Raw genomic sequence first — 22,111 nt, 5'->3', positions numbered from 1 at the left:
GTGCTTGAATCACAATGATCAGGTTTAGCTCCATCAACCTGGAATCCTGAGGAAGAAATGGCTGAAGCTATGGCGTCTCCAACATCTCAGAACTGGCAAAAAGCAAGAGTCATCTAGTCTAACCACCACCTCCCTTTAGCATTCCTGTCGTGTGAGAGCAGACCTATAGTGACAGGAATCTCACTGCTTTCTTTTCCTTTTTACAAGACATATTTCCTTGAAATAACAGAGACATAAAATGAATACATTCATATAAGCCCTCCATCCCAAACTAGAAATTGCAGCATCTGTCAATCAGAAAATTTTAAGGACTTTCTAGAAGATAAAAAGCAGAGAGAATCAAATCTACAGAGGAAACCAGAATGGTTAAATCAGCACAGAAGAAATTGGCTAAGGAGATGTAAACTGTTCTTTTCAACAGAACCTTGGAGAAACTCCAAGTACAGGGGAGAAGGAGCAGGCCACAGCACGACCATCAGGTAAGGACTATTGAATAAGCCAATGGGCCAGCTAGCCTCTTCCTCTCCCAACATACATGCAATGCCTGGCTGTGGCTTTTGTCTCTGATCTTGAAGCCTGGTGAACTGCGTTCTGAGCAAAATGGAAGATCACCTTAGGAAGTGTAGTAAATGGTTACACTGGTGGCAATGAACCAAATCTCTTAGTATTCACAGCCTTGTGGAGTCCCCTACACATTGACCTTGTAATGGGCAATTTCACTTGCTTTGGTCAACGGGCCCTTAGCAAGCATAATGCAAGCAGAGGCTGGATAAGCACGTGCACACTGGGGCTTGTCCTCTTGGGACCTGGCCATCGTCTGTAAGGAAGCCCACCCTAGCCTCCTGGAGGCTAAAAAGCCATGTGGAAAAAGAGGCCACCTAGTGGAGAAACTAGGTTCTTCAGCAGACGGCCAGCACCAAGGCCCCAAACACGTGTGTGAAGCCTTGGGCCTTTCCACACAATCCAGCCGCCAGCTGAATGCAGCACCATGAGTAAGGCAAGCCAATGCCACATGGAACAGAAGAACAAGTCCAGGAAACTCATCAAATCAAAAGAAGTATAAATTATTGTTGTTTTAAGGCACTAAGTTATGGGGAATTCTGTTACGTGGCACTAGACAGCTGATATAGGAGGGATGACTATCTGGGTGTTGAGGCCAGAGAAGCAGAACTGAGCTAAATTCCTGCAATGGATGCTAGAAAAGGGGGAAAAAGCAAAGCCAATGACACAGTGCTGCTCAGGACCTCACACACAGAGTAAAGTCTGCCTGACTTTGGCAATCGAGAGGCCTGCTTGTGTGCTGTTCCCTCATTCTTCCTCCCACTCTCCCTGGCACAGAGCTGCAGGCAGCCTCCCTTCAAGGAAAAGACCCATCCTGGAAGCAAGTCTACACAACTAGGAAAGAAACTGACGCCAGTCTCTTAAATACATTTGTCCACCTAGTTTTTAATTTATAAATCTGAATGACCACTATGGATCACCAGATATTGGAAGCAAATCAAGAATATGAGAAAGACCAAGATGAAAAACCAGAATGATTCATCCTGGAGGAAATGGAGATAATGTGGGAGACAGAAGGGAACTTTAAAGGAGTTCTAGGTCATATCCTCCCAGAGACCCAAAAGAAATTTGCTTTAATAAAATAAGAGTAGATTGTTATGGAAGAGAAGCTAACAAATTTTAATCCTTGAAAATTAAAAACACGAAGACAAAGTCAAGGAAATCTCCTAGAAGGTAGAGTGAAATTACAAAGAAATACAAAATATGAGAAATTAAAGACCTACTATTTGCCTTATGGGGTTCTAGGCTGAGATAACAGAGAGACTAGAGGTGATAAAATAATTTAAAATATAATTTTTAAAGTATATTGCAGAGCTAGAGAAAGATCTGAGTCCTCAAACTATAAAAAGACCCACCAAATGCTAAGCAGAAAACACTGAAAAGACACACATCCTGGTGACATTTCTAAATTACAAAATAAAAACAAAATTCTCAATGCTTCTGCTTATTTTGAACCTACAACTCTATATCAGCCAAACTATCAAGCATGAAAGCGAATCCAAGATATTTTCAGATAATAAAGGACAAAGAAAATTTACTATCCATGCACTGCTTCTGAAAAAATAATTAGGTACTGCAGGAAAACAAAAAAGAAATCCGAGAAACAGAATTTCATAGGGTTACAAAAATTTGAAAGAAACCAGTAAATATCTAAAATCTGAATAATACATGAAAATGGATCTATAAAACCTCATACAGTGTTTAAGAAATGATTTCTTTTAAAAGTATAGGGATAAAATAAAATAACATTTGTAACTAAAGTTTCAACAAAGTATGAGCAGTAGGAGGAGATTTAAGACACTATTGGAAGAAAAACAATTAAATAACTCTATTTAAAATGTAAGACGCTAGAAAAATAAAATACTATAATGCATACTATTAGTGTAATAGTGTAATAGGTGTGTCATACAAATATATAATTTGCCAACAAATAGAGAAAAACAGAAATAAAGAAAATTTGATCAATCAAACAAAAAGCAGAGGAATCATTCAAACATATCAGAGATTGTAATAAAAGTTAATGGATTCAACTCTCCTATTAAACTACAGAGACTCTCAGAATCAGGGAAGAACCCTCACCAACATCCATAAGTAGATGTGTATATGCTCAGGTCAACACACAATGCAGATATTTTTTAAAGTCACATTTAAAACAATACGATACAAAATGATTAAAAGAATGAAAAATGAGGCCGAGCGTGGTGGCTCACACACTTTGGGAGGCCAAGGCAGGCGGATCACGAGGTCAAGAGTTTGGGACCAGCCTGACCAACATGGTGAAACCCTGTCTCTACTAAAAATACAAAAATTAGCCAGGTGTTGTGGTGCACACCTGTAATCCCAGCTACTCAGGAGGCTGAGGCAGGAGAATCGCTTGAACCCAGTAGGTGGAGGTTGCAGTGAGGCAAGACTGCGCCATTGCACTCCAGCTTGGGTGACATAGTGAGACTCCGTCTCCAAAAAAAAAAAAAAAAAAGAATGAGAAATTAATATATGCTAACAAAATATAATGAAGCCATAGAAATATTAATATCAGATTAAATAGAATCAAAATGAAAACCCTACATGGAACAAAGGAGACTTTATAAAACGTACAATCTACCAAGAAGTTATGACAATGAAGTGAGTTTCATAGTAAACAATGGAGTATTAAAATATAGAGACAAGCAGCTTTAGAACAACAAAGAGAAAGTGAAACTTGCAGTGATACTTGATTTTTACAATATGCCTCCCCAGAAATTGATAGATCAAGTAAACAATAAGTGAAGTGATAGGATAATTTGAATACAGTAATTTAAAATTTTGGTGTGAGATTTATATAACAATGTACCAAAGATACACCTTTACACATTCATTTTTAATATCTATGGCACATTTACAAAAATGGACAATTCACTAAAACTGACTACAAGTAAAATCTTAATTCCAAAAAGTGAAAAACATATGGACTGCATTTTTTGACTACAATGTAAAAAGCTAGAATCAATGACAAAAGAGTAGCAAACCAATATGATAACAATTTGGAAATTTATAAACACCATTCTATATAACTCTTGGGTTAAAGAGAAACTCAGAATTAAAACAACAGATTATGTTATAAATGAATGCTACTGACAGCACCCTGTGATGAAACCAATTGTCAAGGCCAATGCAGTATTTGTAGAAAATGTGTAGCCTTGAACATATGTATTAGAAAACAGGAAAGAGGAATTGAATCCAAGTAGCTGGGAAAAAGAAAACTAGAAGGAAAAAAACTATAGAAAGAAGGAATTAGTTGAGATAAAAGCAAAATTAATGAAACAAGAAACAAATGTAGACTTGGTAAATAAAACCAAATGCTGGCTCTTTCATTTAGTCATTCCCCTTATGGCTCACGAAGAGGTAAAAGTACTAATAACCATTTTAAAAAAATCAAATCAGCAAAGATCTACTTCTAAAAATGATATCAGTCCCAGAATGGACTTAAGGGCGAGTTGTATCAAACCTTCTGGGAACAAATACATTCTGTTATTTAAATTGTTACTGAGCTCAAAACAAAGGCAGAAAACTTCCCAATCCCTTCTGCTGGGCTAGCACAACTGTAGTAGGCATCTGTTGTTTTTGCTCCTCAGTGTTAATTCATCCTTCGAGTAACCACACCCTGATTTTCCTTGGAGGGAACCCACTGTACCCCACTCTGTGTCTATGTATTTCCAGGGAAGTTGACACCACTCCTAGTTCCAGAACTGGGCCCACAACCCTCAACAAGCTTTGTTTTTCCCCACCACTGTGAATGATTCAGAGATGGGCATGTAATCCAACCAAGGGTAATGAAACCCAAGAGGTTTTTCAGTGACTTCTGGAAAAAAAGTTGCTCTTGAAACTAAGGCAGTAGATCCTGGAATAGCCATTTGCCTGCCTTGTGTAGTCTGAGACTAAAGTGGACATAAAGGGAAAGCAGAACCAAGAGATGGAGAGAAAAATGAGCATTGATTACAGCATTTGAGCCCTGACTGCAACCACGCCTGAAGTACACTTTCCCCCCATACCCTTCAGCTCCATGAACCAATGTTTAAATCAGCCAGGATTGTCATTTTCAGCTGAAGCCACTAACCCTGACATACCAATGTGGAACAAAGATAACACACACGAGAAAGTATAGCCCAATCACAATTACATAAATATATGACCCATAAATAAAATGGTAGCAAAGTTAATTTAGCTATACATTATAAAACAAATAAATCATGAGCAAATAGGTGTATATCCCAAGAATTTAGCATAGATCTTAACATTACAAACAAAATTTTATTTTTAAAATTTACTATAGTGATACATTAAAGAGAGAATACTAAATTATCTTCTCTATAGATGGCTTAAAAAATTGTAATAAGCTTCCTTAGCCAGATAAAGGATCCAGAGATGGTCAGCTTTATGAGTCTATTTGGTTAAACTATAGTCCCAGTTATTCAATCAAACACTAACCTAGGTGTGGTGAGAATATTTTATAGCTGTAAGTAAAGTTCATAATCAGGTGACTTTAATTAAGCGAGATTATCTTAGACAATCTGGGTGAGCCTGAATCAATCAGGTGAAAGCCTTTATGAGCAGTATTGAGACTTTCCAGAAGAAATTCAACTTCTGGACTACAGCTACAGCTCAGGACCTTCCTGACCACCTGCCCTATAAGTTTTGGACATGCCTATCCAGCCTCCTCAATCATATAAACCAATTCTTGAAATAAATCTCTTAATATGTATGTCCTAGTGGTTGTTTGTCTGGTAGGACCCCAACTGATAAAGGTCTATAACTGCAGCAAAACATACATATCTGTGAGCCCCAGAAAGCAAGCATTCTTTCTCAGGCAGGGACAAGATAAGATGTCCACTATGCCCAGCATTTTGAAGGGATGGTATGTTAGTCCATTCTCACACTACTATAAAGACATACCTGAGACTGGGTAATTTATAAAGAAAAGATGCTTATTGGCTCATGGTTCTGCAGGCTGTACAGGCATCAGCTACTTGAAAGTCCTCAGGAAACTTCCAATCATGGCGGAAGGGGAAGGGGAAGGAGGCATGCTCTTCACATGGCTGTCAGGAGAGACAGCGAGCAAGGAGGGAAGTACTACACACTTTCAAACAACCAGATCTCGTGAGAACTTACAATTATGAGAAGAGCCAGGGGGAGATCTGCCTCCATGATCCAGTCACCTCCTACCAGGTCCCTCCCCCAACACTGAGGATTACAATTCAACATGATACTTGGGTGGTGATATCGTTTGGCTGTGTCCCCACTCAAATCTCATCTTGAACTGCAGTTCCCATAATCCCCACATGTCGTGGGAGGGACCTCGTAAGAGGTAATTGAATCATGGGGATGGTTACACCTATACTGTTCTCATGATAGTGAGTGAGTTCTCACAAAATTTGATGGTTTTATAAGGGGCTTTCCCCTTGCTTAGCACTTCCTCTTGCCGCCATGTGAAGAAGGATGTGTTTTCTTCCCCTTCTGCTGTGATTGTAAGTTTCCTGAGGCCTCCCCAGCCATGTGGAACTGTGAGTCAATTAAACCTCTTTTCTTTATAAATTACCCAGTCTTGGGTATGTCTTTATTAGTAGCATGAGAATGGACTAATGCCTGGCTAATACAGGTGGGGATACAGAGCCAAACCATATCAGATGGTCAGGGAGTGTTCTACTTGGAAGATACAGTACCCTGAATAATGTGCCTCCAAACCCCAAGATGTCCATATCCTAATCCCCAGAGCTTATGAACATGTTGCCCAACATGGCAAAAGAAACTCTGCTGGTATAAGGAAGTTAAGGATCTCAAGGGGAAAGATGACCCTGGATTATCCAACTAGACTCCATGCAATCACAAGCATCCTTACAAGGGAAAGGAAGGAGGCAGGAGAGTCAGGATCAGAGCGATGTGGCCATGAGCCAAGGAATGTGGGTGACCTCTGGAAACTGGAAAAGGCACAAAAATGGATTCTACCCTAGAGCCCCCAGAAGGAATGCAGCCTTGTCAACCCAATTTGGACTTCGGATCTCTGAAATGATAAGATCATAAATCTGTGTTGTTTTAAGCCACTAAATTTGTGGTAATTTGCTATAGCCGCAGTTGGAGATGAATACAGAAGGTAATATTTGAATGAAGACCTGAGGGAAGAGCAGGCGCAATATAAGCAAGTATCTGGGAGAATCGGGTTTCAGATGGAGAGAAAAGCAAGAGCAAAGGCCCCGTGGTAAGAATGCTAGAGGAACAGCAAAAGGGCAAGGTGCTCTGAGTAGCAGAGTCAGGAGGAGGGACCAGGAGATGGGTCAGCAAGGAGTGATGGGGATGAGGCCAGCCCACGGTGAGCCTGAGAAGTGATTGTGAGGGCTTTGGCTTTTACACTGGACAAGACACCAAGCCTTTTGAGAGCCTAGAGCAGAGTGGTGCACAATTTGACTTACATTTTAAAAGCACCACTGTCTGCTGTGGGTGACCGGGGTGAATTCACCATAAAGCTAATGAAGCCCAAATCCCAGAACTCTATGCTTGCACGGATCCCTTCCAAGACCCCAGTCATGCAATCAGGTGGTCATATGTTTTGTAAAATTTACGAAAGTAAGATATCTTAGCCACAATTAGTTAAGACCACTTGATCTCTTTCTTGACTTTTCTACCATATCTTCTCTTGGTGCTGGAGTGGGTACAGATATTTTTGGGATCCAGTTAGAAAAAATTGAGCTGGGGATACCTTTAGTTGGAGTTTACTGAGATATATTTGTGTGTTTCACAGCTCTTTCCATGTTATTGGAAGTTATTACCAGCTATCCTGGAGCAAGATTGGCTTCCAGGAACCCTCCCACCGCCCACTCTGTCGACAGGATATTGATGTGAGAGCTTTAATAGAGTGTTGTCAGCTCACAGAAGTTTTTAAATTAGTAGTCACTGCACAAGAAAACTTGAAAAGCCCAGAAATCTTACCGCTCATATATAAAAGAATCTTGATAGAGCTCTCTCAGGTTTGACAATTCTAAAAATTTATCCAACTTTGCCATTAACAAATTGTGAAAGTAGAGGAAACTTTTCTAAGCTATTAATAATAATAATTTTAAAAATGAACTTTAATCAACTACAGTAGAGGAAACTTTTGTATTCTTTCTATTAAAAAATGTATTACAGGCCAGGCATGGTGGCTCACACCTATAATCCCAGCACTTTGGGAGGCCGAGGTGGGTGTATCACCTGAGATCAGGAATTAGAGACCAGCCTGGCCAATACAATATGGCAAAACCCAGTCTCTATTAAAAATACAAAAATTAGCTGGGTGTGGTGGCACATGCCTGTAATCCCATCTACTCTGGAGGCTGAGGCAGGAGAATCACTTGAACCCGGGAGACAGGGGTTGCAGTGAGCTGAGATCGCGTCACTGCACTCCAGCGTGGGCAACAGACTAAGACTCTGTCTCAAAAAAAGAAAAAAAAAAAGGATTACAAATCATGTCATACAAACAAGTGATGAAAGAATATGAAGGCAAAAAATATAAGGGAAGAAGTAATATAGCAATACATCAAGCAATTAATAAATTAATAAATTAAAAAGACTATGTTCTTTTTTCCGGATTAGGTAAGATATTTGTGGTATTGCCTGCTTTTAAAAATTTTGTAATTTTCTGTGATTTCTTTTTCATCTTAAATAGATATTTACCTTCATGCCTAATTTACTGTTTTTCATTTTTTAACTATTAGTGAGGGCCATAAAAAATGTCATGTGCTTAAGCCCTCACAAGACCTGAATCCCCTGGGGAAGAGCATTCTATGGCTGGGGTTGGGTGCTAGCCCTTGGCGTCTTTGTTTGGATCCATTTCTTACCCTTCTCTTGCTCTATGGCAGGGAACTGACCCTGTGGCCTGTTTCCAGGGATCCTGTGTCCACTGCCGTTTGACAGCATCTGGCCAATGAGAGGCCAAAGTAGATGAGAGGGCTGGGAGAAGGGAGTCTTGGCTCTTCCTCCCTCCTTTCTGCAGCCAGGCATTCCTGGTCTCTGCTTGCTGCCTCCAGCTCCTGTTAAAGAGGCCTGCCTGGGTTTCTGCTTCTTTCAGAGTCCCTCTGGCCCCTGGGTGTGGGTAACGCCACCTTTTCCTGTTATCTCTACAGCCTAGGGGTGGTCACCACTTCCTGCTGTTGGTGATCGCTGGGTGGCCTCCCCTCCCCTGTTTGGCATCTCAGCAATTCTGTCACCTTGTAACCAGTTTCCAGTACTGCATCCCTTCATGGAATGGCTTCTGTTTTCCTGGGTGGATCCTGACTGAAAGAAGGAGGTAAGATAGAAAGGGGGAGACCTGTTAGGGGGTGAATGTAACAGTCCAGGAGAGCAATGAAGGCGGCTTGCCCCAGAGTAACAGCTGTGGATGTGATAAGAAGTGGTAGAGACTAATGATTTGCTTATAGACTGGATTTCGGAAGTAAGAGAAAGAGAAGAGTCAGAGATGACTGCAAGGTATTTGACCTGAGCACCTAGAAGAACAGAGTCAGCCCTTAGTGAGGAGGTGCAGATTTGAGGGGATAGGAGGATATGAGGAGTTTTCTTCAGGATGCTGGGTTTGAGATGCCTATTAAACATCAAGTTGAAATTATATATATGAGGCCTCTCAGGAAAGAGATTTATTTGAGAGGCAGGTATACATTTGGGAGTTATCAGTGTAGAGGTAGAAGCTGTATGACCATCGATGACATTAATGGAGCAAGATAGAGAAGAGGTCCTGAACTGAACTGAACCCTGGAGTAAACCAATATTTAGAGGCCTGGGAAATGAAGAGAGACTAGCACAGGGGTCTGAGAAGAGAGTCCAGAGAGGTAAGAGGAGAACCAGAAGAGTGGCATCCTGAAAGTCAAATGAGGAAGATGTGCCTAAGAGAGGGGTTGGATGTGTCCAATTCTGCTGACGGGTCAAGTACAGTAAGGTCTGAGATTGACCAGCGAGTTTTGCAATATGGAGGTCATTGGTAAGTGACCCTGACAAGAGCAATTTCAGGAGAATGTTGGGGTTAAGAACTTGGAGACTGCAAACATTAGCAAATTTGTAAAGTTTGGCTGTAAAGTGAAGGAGATAAATGACATAATAGCTGGAAATTAAAGTGGGTCATTTCCAAGTGGGGAGAGGAATATAAAAACATTATATATATACATACGTACATACTACACATATATGCATGCACACATATATAATAACTTTTTGTTAAAGTGTAACATACATAGAAAGGAGTGCACAGATCATGAATGTACAACACAGGAAGTCTTCACAAGTTCACATATTAATGTAACCACTACCTAAATCAGGAAAAAAGACATTGCCAGCATCCCAGAGACTCCACATGCTCCCTCTCAGGTGTTACCCACTCATTCCTTCTCAAAGGTAACCACTCTTCTAACCATAAGTTAATTGTTGTCTGCTTTGAAACTTATATAGTAGAATAATATAGTATAACTTCTTTTACTCAACGTTGTTTGTGGGATAAATGTAGCGACAGTGCATTCATTTTCATTGACATATAGCATATCCTTGTATGATTATTCCACAATTTACATATCCATTCTATTCTTCTGTTTGTTTTTTGTTTTTGAGACGAAGTCTCACTCTGTCACCCAGGCTGGAGTGCAGTGGTGTGATCTCGACTCACTGCAACCTCTGCCTCCTGGTTTCAAGTGATTCTCCTGCCTCAGCCTCCCGAGTAGCTGGGACTACAGGCACGCACCACCACACCCAGCTAATTTTTGTATTTTTTAGTAGGGATGGGGTTTTGCCATGTTGCCCACGCTGTTCTCACACTTCTGACTTCAGGTAATCTGCCCGCCTCAGCCTCCCAATTCTATTCTTGATAGATAAGCATTTGGCCTGTTTAATGATTGTGCTACAGTATTTAATGTTACTATGGATATGCTTCTACATGTCTTTTGGTACACAAATGTATGCATTTCTGTTTGGTATATAACTATGTATGAAACTGCTGGATCATAAGGAAAGTTTAGTTTTGGCTTTAGTAGATTTTTGCATTGTCGGAATTTGCCATTTGATATTGGAATACATTCTCAAATAAATGTAGTTATGTTATACATCATTTTAATGGGCATTTCTCGCTTTTATTTTGCTAATGACTTATTACTTGCTGTTTATTTTATGTTTATTTTAGACTATGGAAATGATGTTAGACAAAAAGCAGATTCAAGTGATTTTCTTATTCAAGTTCAAAATAGGTCGTAAAGCAGCAGAGAAGATGACTCGCAACATCAACAACGCATTTGGCCCAGGCACTGCTAACGAATGTACAGTGCAGTGGTGGTTCAAGAAGTTTTGCAAAGGAAACAAGAGCCTTGAAGATGAGGAGTGTAGTGGCAGGCCGTTGGAAGATGACAACGACCAATGGAGAGCAATCATTGAAGCTGATCCCCTTACAACTACAAGAGAAGTTGCTGAAGAACTCAGTGTCAACCATTCTACGGTCGTTCAGCATTTGAAGTAAGTTGGAAAGGTGAAAAAGCTCAATAAGTGGGTGCCTCATGAGCTAAGCGAAAATCAAAAAAATTGTCATTTTGAAGTGTTGTCTTCTCTTATTCTATGCAACAATGAACCATTTCTCGATCAGATTGTGACATGCCACTAAAAGTGGATTTTATACAACAGCCGGCGACGACCAGCTCAATGGTTGGACCAAGAAGAAACTCCAAAACAGTTCCCAAAGCCAAACTCGCACCAAAAAAAGGTTATGGTCACTGTTTGGTGGTCTACTGCTGGTCTGGTCTAATCCACTTTAGAGTTCTGAATCCCAGCGAAACCATTACATGTGTGAAGTATGCTCAGCAAAGTGATGATATACACTGAAAACTGCAATGCCTACAGCCGGCATTAGTCAACAGAGAGGGCCCAATTCTTCTCCACAACAATGCCCGACCACACATTGCACAACCAACGCTTCAAAAGTTGAACGAATTGTACTACAAAATTTTGCCTCATCTGCCACATTCACCTGACCTCTCACCAACCAACTACCACTTCTTCAAACATCTCAACAACGTTTTGCAGGGAAGACAATCCACAATGAGCAGGATGCAGAAAATGCTTTCCAAGAGTTTGTCAAATTCCAAAGGACAGATTTTTATGCTACAGGATTAAATTTATTTCTCTTTGGCAAAAATGTGTTGATTGCAATGGTTCCTATTTTGATTAATAAAAATGTGTTTGAGTCTAGTTACAATGATTTAAAATTCACGGTTCGAAACCACAATTACTTGTTGCACCAAAAAAGTTTTGTACCAATTTCCACTCCTACAGAAGGGCAATCCAGTTGTTCCCTACCCACCTGGTACTGTCATAAGCCTTTTAAATTTTGGCCATTCTGATGATTGTGTCATGGTGCCACACCACGGTTTTGATTTTCATTCCCTTGATGACCAATAAGGTTGAGCATATTTTCCTACAGTTCATGGCTGTTTGGATATTTTATTTTATGAAGTGGTTGTTCAAGTCTTTTGAGGAGAGATAAGAAAGTGTTAAATGGGACAGGAGGGTCAATGGATTACGGGCTTTACCTGCAACCACAAGGGTCCACTTGAGCTTAGTGCCCATGAATATAAGATGAGACTAGTCAGCCTGTCTTGTGCTTTTCTCCAAACTCATTCAGTTGCACAGGAAAAGCAGGGAGCATATGGACAATTGGAGTTAACTATGGTCGAGAGTTGCCCAAGTGATATGAAGAAGTAGGTCAAGGGCACAAGAGTTGAGGAAGTGTGCAAGGGAATGACAATGATGAACCATAGAACATAAGCTGGTTAGAGTGGAATATAAGGGCAATGAAAATATAGAAAGGTCATTAGATTATAGGTCCTGGTGGGTTGAATAATTGTCAGAGTAGAAAAAGAGGAATGAGCTGGAAAAATTAGAGGTGGCAATCTAAGAGGTAAATTGCTTACATTGAGGTTATAGCGATGTCAGAGCTATTGGTCATGATCAGGTCTATAGCAAAATGATGGCCTTGAGTGGATGAAGCAGGGTGGAGGACCAGTAGTGAAAGAGGAAGTCAAGGAACCAAGAGATCAAGTGTCTCAGTCTGTTTTGTGCTGCTATAACAGAATACCTGGGACTGAGTAATTTATAATGAACAGAAATTTAGCTGCATGCAGTGGCTCATACCTGTAATCCCAACACTTTGGGAGGCCAAGGCGGGCAGATCACTTGAGACCAGGGAGTTCAAGACCAGCCTGGCTAACATGGTGAAACCCCGTCTCTACTAAAAATACAAAAAATAGCCAGGCATGGTGGCACATGCCTGTAATCCCAACTACCCAGGAGGGAGGCATGAGAATCGCTTGAACCTGGGAGGCGGAGGTTGCAGTGAGCCAAGATGGTGCCACTACACTTCATCCTGGGTGATGGAGTCAGACTCCACCTCAAAAAAAAAAAAAAAAAGAAAACGTATTAGCTCACTGTTCTGGAGGATGGGAAGTCCAAGATCAAGGTGCCAACATCGTACAAGGACCTTCTTGTGTCATCACGTGGTGGAAGGCTAGAGGATAAGAGAGAGTGAACCCACTTTTTCAAGCCTTTTTTTATAATGGCATTAATCCATTCATGAGGGCTCTGCCCTCTTAACTTAATTACCTCTTAAAGGCCCCACCTCCCAACACTATCACATTGGGGATTAAGTTTCAACCTATGAATTTTGGAGGGGACACAAACATTCAAACCATAGCACCAAGGTACCAGAAAATTGTCTATTTGAATGTTGAAATTACCAATAATTATGGCAGAATTACAATTGGAGAGAAGCTCTTCCAATTTACCGGTAGAAAGCATTAGCAGAGGAATGAACATACACAGCAAATGACACATCTGTACGTAGGAATCATCTTGTACATAGACATGCATAATTTAAATGAGATGATGTTTCAAAGTAGTGCAGAAATGATGGATTATGCCATAAATAGTATTTGAACAAGTGTCTCTCCACTGGGAAAATAACACAATTTTACTTGTTTCTCACACAATCTACAAGAGTAACTTTTAAATGGACTAAAAGAACTAAACATTAGAAACTATAAAATTACCAGAAGAAAATAAAGGAAAATATCTTATAATAGTGAGGCAGAGAACGTTTTCCTAAGTAAGATAGATCTGAGATCACAGAAAATGGTAATAGTTAGTATTTATTGCACCATGTCCTGTGGTGATTACCATTCTAAGAACTTCTAATGTGTATTAATTCATTTAATCCTCACAACAACCCTATGCAGTAAGTACTCTTATCCTTGTTTTATGTAAGAAAACTGAAGCACAGGGAGGTTAGGTAACTTGCCAAAGTCACAGAGCTAAGATAACTCCAGAACAAAATATAAATAATTGACATGTAACTATAAAACTTTTATAGACAGAAAAAAGTTAGTGAAGTCTAAAGAAAAAGGACATCTGGGAGGCAATATTTATATTACAAATTTTGTAACTTTTCTTTTTAAACAGCTTTGAGATATGATTGACATACAATAAGCTTCACATATTTAAAGTGTACAACTTGATGAGTTTTGACATAAGTATACACCTGTGAAACCGTCACTACAATAAAGAATGAGCATACCCATCACCCCTAAACGTTATTTATAACTTTCCAATGAATTATTTCCATGTCATACATACATAAGGAGTTACTACAAATCAATAAAGCAAAAAATAAAAATGGGCAAAGAGTATAACCAGGAATTCACAGCACAAGACACACAAATAGCTAATAATCATATGAAAATATGCACAACCTAATCCCAGCACTTTGGGAGGCCAAGGTGGACGGATCACTTGAGGTCAGGAGTTCAAAACCAACCTGACCAACATGGTGAAATCTAGTCTCTACTGAAAGTACAAAAATTAACCAGGCGTGGTGGCATGCGCCTGTAGCCCCACCTACTTGGGAAGCTGAGGTGGGAGGATCCCTTGAACCCAGGAGACGGAGGTTGCAGTGAGCCGTGATCATGACATTGCACTCCAGTCTAGGTGACAGAGTGAGACTTTGTCCCCCACCCCCCTCCCCCACAAAAAAAGAAAATATGTACAACCTCAGTTGCAGGGAATGGAAATTAAAATGATGAGGTAGCATTTTAAGCTGAGTGGTGAAACTTGGCAAGGTTGATGCTATCCACAGTTGGTTAAAGAAAGCAAAGTTCGGCAGGGCGTGGTGGCTCACGCCTGTAATCCCAGCACTTTGGGAGGCTGAGGTGGGCAGATCACGAGGTCAGGAGATCGAGACCATCTTGGCTAACACAGAGAAACCCTGTCTCTACTAAAAATACAAAAAATTAGCCGGGTGTGGTGGTGGGTGCCTGTAGTCCCAGCTACTCGGGAGGCTGAGGCAGGAGAATGGCGTGAACCTGGGAGGCAGAGCTTGCAGTGAGCAGAGATCGCACCACCGCACTCCAGCCTGGGCGACAGAGTGAGACTCCATCTCAAAAAAAAAGCAAAGTTCATGAGAGTTTGGCCACACGGGCTCTCTCATTTGCTGCAATGACAATAGGTATTTGCATACATCTTTTTGGAATAAGACAGATGAACTCCGCATCTAAAATACACATGACCTATTTCCTAATAGCTGAATTTTCTAAGAATCCAACCTTCAGCAACAATCACATAATATGTGCCAAGGTATAATGCAGTACTTTAAATAGAAAAACATTAAAACACTGGTGGGGGGTGGGGAAGCCAAAACTCCCATTAATGATTAAATAATGTTTTAAATGGTATAACCATACTTTGGAACATTACATAGCTATTAAAAAGAAGTGAGATTTCTACACATGTATGGGGAAGACTTTCATCTTTTATTCTATGTACTTTTGAATTATTTCTATTCTTAACAAGTAGGTTTAAAACAGTGAAAATGAAAAAAGTAGTGCATGCTTGTAGATAAACAAATTCATGCAATACAGAACTTTAGAGAGGAACATGTGGATATCCCTCTCACGTTTATTAATTCATGAAACTAAGAACTAATTGTGTGCCAGAGATGAGCAAAGCATTGTCCCTGTCTGCACACAGCTTACCTTCTAATAGAGGAAAGGAAAAGCAAGTGTGTTATCTGCATGTAAAAATAGACACCTAATTTAGATTGGAAGGGCCAAAAGGCCACTTTGGGAAAGTGAGAGTTAGCTGAAGCCTGAAGGATAAATAAGAGTTCAGTGGTGGGCACAGTGGCTCATGCCTGTAATCCCAGCACTTTGGGAGGCCAAGGCAGGAGGATGGTTTGAAGCCAGGAGCTCAAGATCAGCCTGGGAAACATAGAGAGATCTTGTCTCTACAAAAAATTTAAAATAAATTAGCCGGTCATCATTGTGCCTACCTGTAGTTCCAGCTACTTAGGAAACTGAGGCAGGAAGATTGCTTGAGCCCAGGAGTTAGAGGCTACTGTGATACTGTGAGCTATGATCGTGCCACTGCACTCCAGACTGGGCAACAGAGCCAGACCTTGTCTTTAAAAAAAAAAAAAAAAGAGTTAGCAGTAGGGAAGAGTAGATGGGAAAGAATCCATGAAGAGGAAGCAGCGCACAAAGGCTCCAAGGTAGAGGGCAGGACTGTGCGGCGCACAGGAGTACTGGAGGCCAGAGACAGGCCCTGCTCTGCATAAGGGAACATGCGGGAGAAAGAGGAGTCTGGATTTTCAAAGTCTGTTAGCTGCAGGACTGTATGATTTACATTCAGAAAAATTCACCTTTTTTAGGTAGACAGTTTGACGGATTTTGACAAATGTGAACACTTGCGAAACTACCACCACAGTTAAGTCACAGAGCATTTCTGTCATCCCAGCAAGTTCTCCTGTGTCCCTTTGTACCTAAGCCCACTGCCAGGCCCTGCAACCACTGATCTGCCTTCTGTGACAGCCCTTTTGCCTCTTCCAGAGATTGTCGTAACGGATCTGTATAGTATACAGCCTTCAATCCAGTTTCTTTGACTCAGTTTCTTTGCTATTCATCCATGCAGATGTGTGTATCAGTAGTTCATTCTGTCTTATTGCTGAGAAGTATTAAATGGAATAGTGTATGGATGTACCACAACAGGTTTGTTCAATCACGAGTTGATGGATCGGTTTGTTTTTTTTTCCAGTTTGGGACTATTATGAATACATCTGCCTGGGACATTTGTGTACAGGTCTTTGTGTGGATGTATCTTTTCATTTCTCTAAATATCTGAGTGGACTCGTTGGATCATATGGTAAGTGTATGTTTAACTGCCAAACTGTTTTCCAAAGCGGCTGCCCCATTTTGCATTCCCACCATCAATGTGTGTGATTTCTAGTGGTTCTCATTCTCAACAACATTTGATATTATCGGTTTTCTAAAAATTACTATCCCTTTAGCCATTCTAATAGGTGTGTGGTGATATCTCATTGAGGTTTTAGTTTGCATTTCCCTAATGATTAATGTTGTTGAGCATATTTTCATATTCTTATTTACCATTTGTATCTCTTTGACAAAATGAGCCTCAGGACTTTCAATTTACATTAAATTCTTTGTAAAACTTCAAAATATGAAATAATAATTAATAATAAATACATATTAAATGAAGTTGGGGGCCAGGAGTCCTAGCTGCTCAGTGCTTCACTGCTGCCTGCTTTGCCCCCCTCCCAAACCCTGGCCTCTGAGAGGGCACCATGGAGCAGTGTTTCAATTACCAGACAAGGATCTTGCTAGCTAGTCTCCAAAGACAGCTCCCCGATGAGCTGTGGCTTACAGTAGTCATGCCCTTGTGTATTCCCCTCCCACATTGAATCGGGGTTGACCGTGTGTAACTAATACAATGCATTAGAAGTGAGGCCTTGTGACTTCTGAGGTTAGGTCAGAAGAAGCCATAAAACGTCCACCTTGGTCATCTAGAATGCCCACTCTGGGAGAAGCTAGTTGCCATTACATCCAACTATGCCAAGACCACTATGCTATGAGAAAGCCCAAAGAAGCCATATAAAGGGGCTGCATGGAGAAAAAGAGAGAGAGAGCTGGCCAGCCCTGATCTGTTCCAGCCATTCCAGCCCAGGCACCAGCCATATGAGTGAAAGAAGCCATCTTGAATGTCCAGTCCAGCCAAGCTTTCAGAGGACTCCAGCCCCAACCACCCTCTGATTACAATTCTACAAGGGTCCGAAAGGTAGAACTACCCATTAGAATCAACCCCAAGAGCCATGAGGGATAATAAAAGGTTGTTTTAAGTCTCTGAGTTTTGGAGTGGTTTGTTATGCAGCAATAGCTAACTGGCACATGGATGGTGCCCGGGTTTGGGGTCTGCTGACTTGGAAAGGTGGTAAGCCTGGGAACAAGAGAGAGGGCTGCTAGCTGTTGTCACTTTCCTTCTTTTTCTTTCTACATTCAGACTCCCTGGATATCATCTTATATCCTTACACTGTCAGTGCCAGAATTGTGGGTGGCTACGAGAAAACGGAGACTGGCAAGAAACAGGAACTGAGAAAGTCAAAGCAGATGCCAGGCCCAGGAATGAGCCCAACTCCAACAAAATATTAGGAACAGTAATTCCTCACATGTTAACAGTCCTTTGCAGTTTCTAAAGCACACTGAGATGTGTTATTTGACCCTCATATCAGCTAGGGGATATGAGGGTCAAATAATATAATACATTTTAGGGTGTTACTACCCCCTTTTATTTAACTAGATAAAGAAATGGAGGCTACCCCCATTTAACTAGATTAAAAAAAATAGAGGCTCAGGAAAGTTAAAGAGTTGCAGAGAGCATAGCCCTGGTGTATCGCACTCTGGGAGTTCTTGTTGGAATGAGAAAGAACCAGGATTAATTCACAATTACCTTGGGATGGAGACTGGAACAGTAAATTGCTTAGGTTAAGAACCTGGTGGCTGGGCACAGTGGCTCACACCTGTAATCCCAGCACTTTGGGAGGCCGAGGCGGGTGGATCACCTGAGGTTAGAGTTTGAGACCAGCCTGACCAACATGGTGAAACCCCGTCCCTGTTAAAAATACAAAATTAGCTAGGCATGGTGGTGCATGCCTGTAATCCCAGCTACTCAGGAGGTTGAGGCAGGAGAATCGCTTGAACTCTGGAGGCAGAGGTTGCAGTGAGCCAAGATCATGCCATTGCACTCCAGCCTGGGCAATAAGAGCAAAACTCTGTCAAAACAAACAAACAAACAAACAAACAAACAAACTGGCAAAGGCAAAGCCAAGGTTTAATTACTTACTGAGCACCTCTTGACACTAGACTAAGTTCTTTGGACACTTTGTGTACTCTTCTTAGTGACCCTGTAAGGTAGATGCTATTACCATCCTTATTTTGCAATAGGTCTCTGACATCACGACTCAGAGATATTGCCCCCAACACTCACCACTTCAACCTATCATGTCTTCATAACGGCATTGCCAATTCTCTGAACACTGGTTCTGTAGCTGGAACCTAATGCCTACATGATGAGCACGGGGTCCCGGCTGACCTTCTTACCCCTCCTGTGCACATTGGTGTCCTTACTGCCCTTGAGCCCATTGTGGTCATATCATTTCTGTGCTCAGAGAGCATCAGGGGCTTCCAACAGACCAGGCTCCTCATCAACTCCCCACCCATTAACCCTGCCCAAAGCTCAGAACCAAGCCTGTCCCTAATTGTAGGAGTCATTCATTCATACATTCAACAAATATTTATCAAATGCCTAATGTCTGCCAAGCACCATTTAGGAAGGCCAGCAGAGCATACCATACAATAGACACCTTCCTTGACCTCAAGAAGCCTGCAATCTAGCAAGGTGTATAGACAACAAGTTCCCTGAGGGCACCAAGGAGATTCCCTTGAATATTCACCACTGCCAGGAAGAGTTCCCTGACTCTCACCCTCGGGCGCATCCAGCAACCCTTGGAAATTTCCTATTGAGCTCTGTCCAGCTGAAATTATAGCATGTATCCTTTTAGTCTTCAAAGAAGAGTGTAAGCGTGTGTGCACACACGTGTGCACATGAGTGTGTTTTCCTCATTCCAGCCAAATACCACCACCCCAAGGCATTGTCATCTGAAAGGGTTTGGAAGGCAGCCCGAGCCAATGCCCTCCTGCCCTTTACTGTCCCCTGAGCTCCTGTCCCACTTTTCTAGATGTCTCCCCTTGATGTTCCGCCAAGACCTCAGACTCATTGCAACCAAAACTGTCCTTCCCAATCTGCTTTCACTCCTCTTTTCCCTTTCTCGATTTGTAGCCACATCAGCACCCAGACACACCAACTCAAGATCTCTAACTCATTCTCCAGTAGACACACACAGTCTTGTATAGCCACATACAAAACTTGTTTCATCCTTGTGAAGAGCCACACCAAGTCCTATTTAACACAAAATTCACACTCCTACAACATTCACACAATTCAATCACACAAAAATAAAATCAGAACCATACAGCGAGCTCTGTAGAAAGTCACTCTCCTGCATAGTCCCAGCAAGGCATGTATGGTGATAAATACATGCACACACTCACACATACAGTCCTAGGTGACAAGCTTTTCACCAGGAGCATCTGGGGAAATGAAACATCATAAAGTCCAATCATTTTGAACCCAGACCCAGGACCTGAATCCATCAATCCTTCTGGGGAGGATGGCGGGCGTTGCCTTTCCCCTGTTCCTGACAGCCCTGTGATTTGTGTCTGCTCCATGGGTGCTGGTGCCATAATTCACCTTCTGTGCCCACAGGATAACTGCCCAGCCTGGCCTTTTGCCTGACACAGACTCTGGACTTGCCTGTGCCTGTCCTCCTGGCCTCATAGCCAAGCTGTGTCCCTGAGCTGGGGATGGCTTGGGGATCTGAGGTCATATAAGGGCTGGGTCTCCCAGGAAAGAGCAAGGCTGCAGAGTGGACCACAGAGATGTTTCCATCACCCTGTGTCTTCCAGGATCCTCGGTGCTGAGCACTTGGCCAGAGAACTCCAGGACAAACCCCTCTCTCTGCCTAGACCACAGTCAAATCCAAGCTGCCTTAAACAAATTGGCAAAGAGGATTCAAGCAGCCCAAACCTGGGGCATAGGCACCGATGGTGAGAATCCAGGCTTATTCCTCCACAGGCAACCTGGAAGCTGCAGTTCCCATCACCTAGCCTTCCCTTTTCTCCATCTCCAACATACACACAGGCTGCCGTGACTCTGGGCTGCCTTCCAAGGGGGGGCATCCTAAATCATCTCTGGGGCTCCCTGCCAGGACAAGTAGCAGCATTGGTGAGAAAGACAAGATGGATTACATATATGTTGATGTGCTAGTATGGAGGCTCTGGATGAGTGGCTGGGGGGATAATGGGGGTGAGGTTAGAGGACAAAGATCCAAAGTTACAAGGCTATTGACTTCAAAATGGGAAGGACAGATTTTCTTCTTAATTTCTGAGATCTGGGAACAAGACTGGCTTGCACATGAGAGGCTCCTAAAGGGGCTTTGTAATACTGCAGGGCCTGGTTCAGCCCACCCAGCACCCCCCAGCCTCCACCCATGAAGGGCAAGCAGAACTACAGTGAAGAGGGATCCCCCCAGGGATTCACTCCTAACAGACTCTGGGGAATACTGTCCAGAATTGCCCTTTGACCCATTAGCTCCCCTTTCTGTCTTGGAACAGTATTGATTTGCCCTTTTTCCCTCTCTGGTTCTCACTGGGGGAAAGATGGAAAATCAAATGTTGTCAGGATAACTGACCAACCATTTGGAAAACAATAAAGCTGGAATTGTCCTTCACTCTTTACACAAAAATAAACTCAAAAGGATAAAAACATATAGTATAAAAAGTGAAACCACACGAGTACTAAAGCAAAGTGTGAATATTTGTATTATGGGCCTTTCTAAGCCCAGCACAAACTCTAAAAGCAGTAAGGGAAAAAACCCTACAGACTTAACTACATAAAAATCAAGTACTTATGCGGGACAAAAAATACATATGGTTGAAAGTCAGGATGAAGTAGAAAAATATTAGGAATACTATCTTTAACTTACGAAAGAGCTCCCACAAATAAGAAAAAAACAAATACTCCAATAGAGAAATGGGCAAAGAACATGATCAGACAACTCACAGATGAAGTAAGAATGTCCATTTGTCCATTAAGAACCAAGTATATGCCCTAGTTCAGTATCGATGAAAAATGCAAGTGGAAGGATGTATCAATTGTCACCTATAAGGTGGGCAAAAGTTGTTTGTTTGTTTGTTTGTTTGTTTGTTGAGACAGAGTCTCACTCTATCGCCCCAACTGGAGTGCAGTGGTGTGATCTCGGCTCACTGCAAACTCCGCCTCCTGAGTTCAAGCAATTCTCCTGCCTCAGCTTCCCCAGTAGCTGAGATTACAGGTGCCTGCCTCTGCGCCCAACTAATCTTGTATTTTTAGTAGAGATGGAGTTTCACTATGTTGGTCAGGCTGGCCCCGAACTCATGACCTTAGGTGATCCACCCACCTTGGCCTCCCAAATTTCTGGGATAATAGGCGTGAGGCACTGCGCCCAGTTTTTTTAAACTGACAATGGTGTAAGAAAGGGGGCTTTCTCCCACACTGCTGATGGTGGGAGAGACGTGGGAAGGTTCAT

The 22,111-nt window shown here is 41.8% G+C and overlaps 1 long non-coding RNA gene across 1 annotated transcript; it reads left to right on the top strand.

Annotated features, from left to right (window-relative positions):
• Positions 1 to 8,752: 8,752 nt before the first annotated feature.
• LOC124904158 (uncharacterized) lies at positions 8,753 to 11,778 on the top strand. The gene is made up of 2 exons (XR_007066026.1): positions 8,753 to 8,854; positions 10,724 to 11,778. It is a non-coding gene; the product is annotated as an uncharacterized LOC124904158 (long non-coding RNA).
• The last annotated feature ends 10,333 nt before the right edge of the window (positions 11,779 to 22,111 follow it).

The sequence above is a fragment of the Homo sapiens genome, chromosome 1, assembly GCF_000001405.40.
Source record: "Homo sapiens chromosome 1, GRCh38.p14 Primary Assembly".
Lineage (NCBI taxonomy): Eukaryota > Metazoa > Chordata > Mammalia > Primates > Hominidae > Homo > Homo sapiens.
Note: the sequence above shows the minus strand (reverse complement) of the source record. Positions and strands in the feature narration are given on the sequence as shown.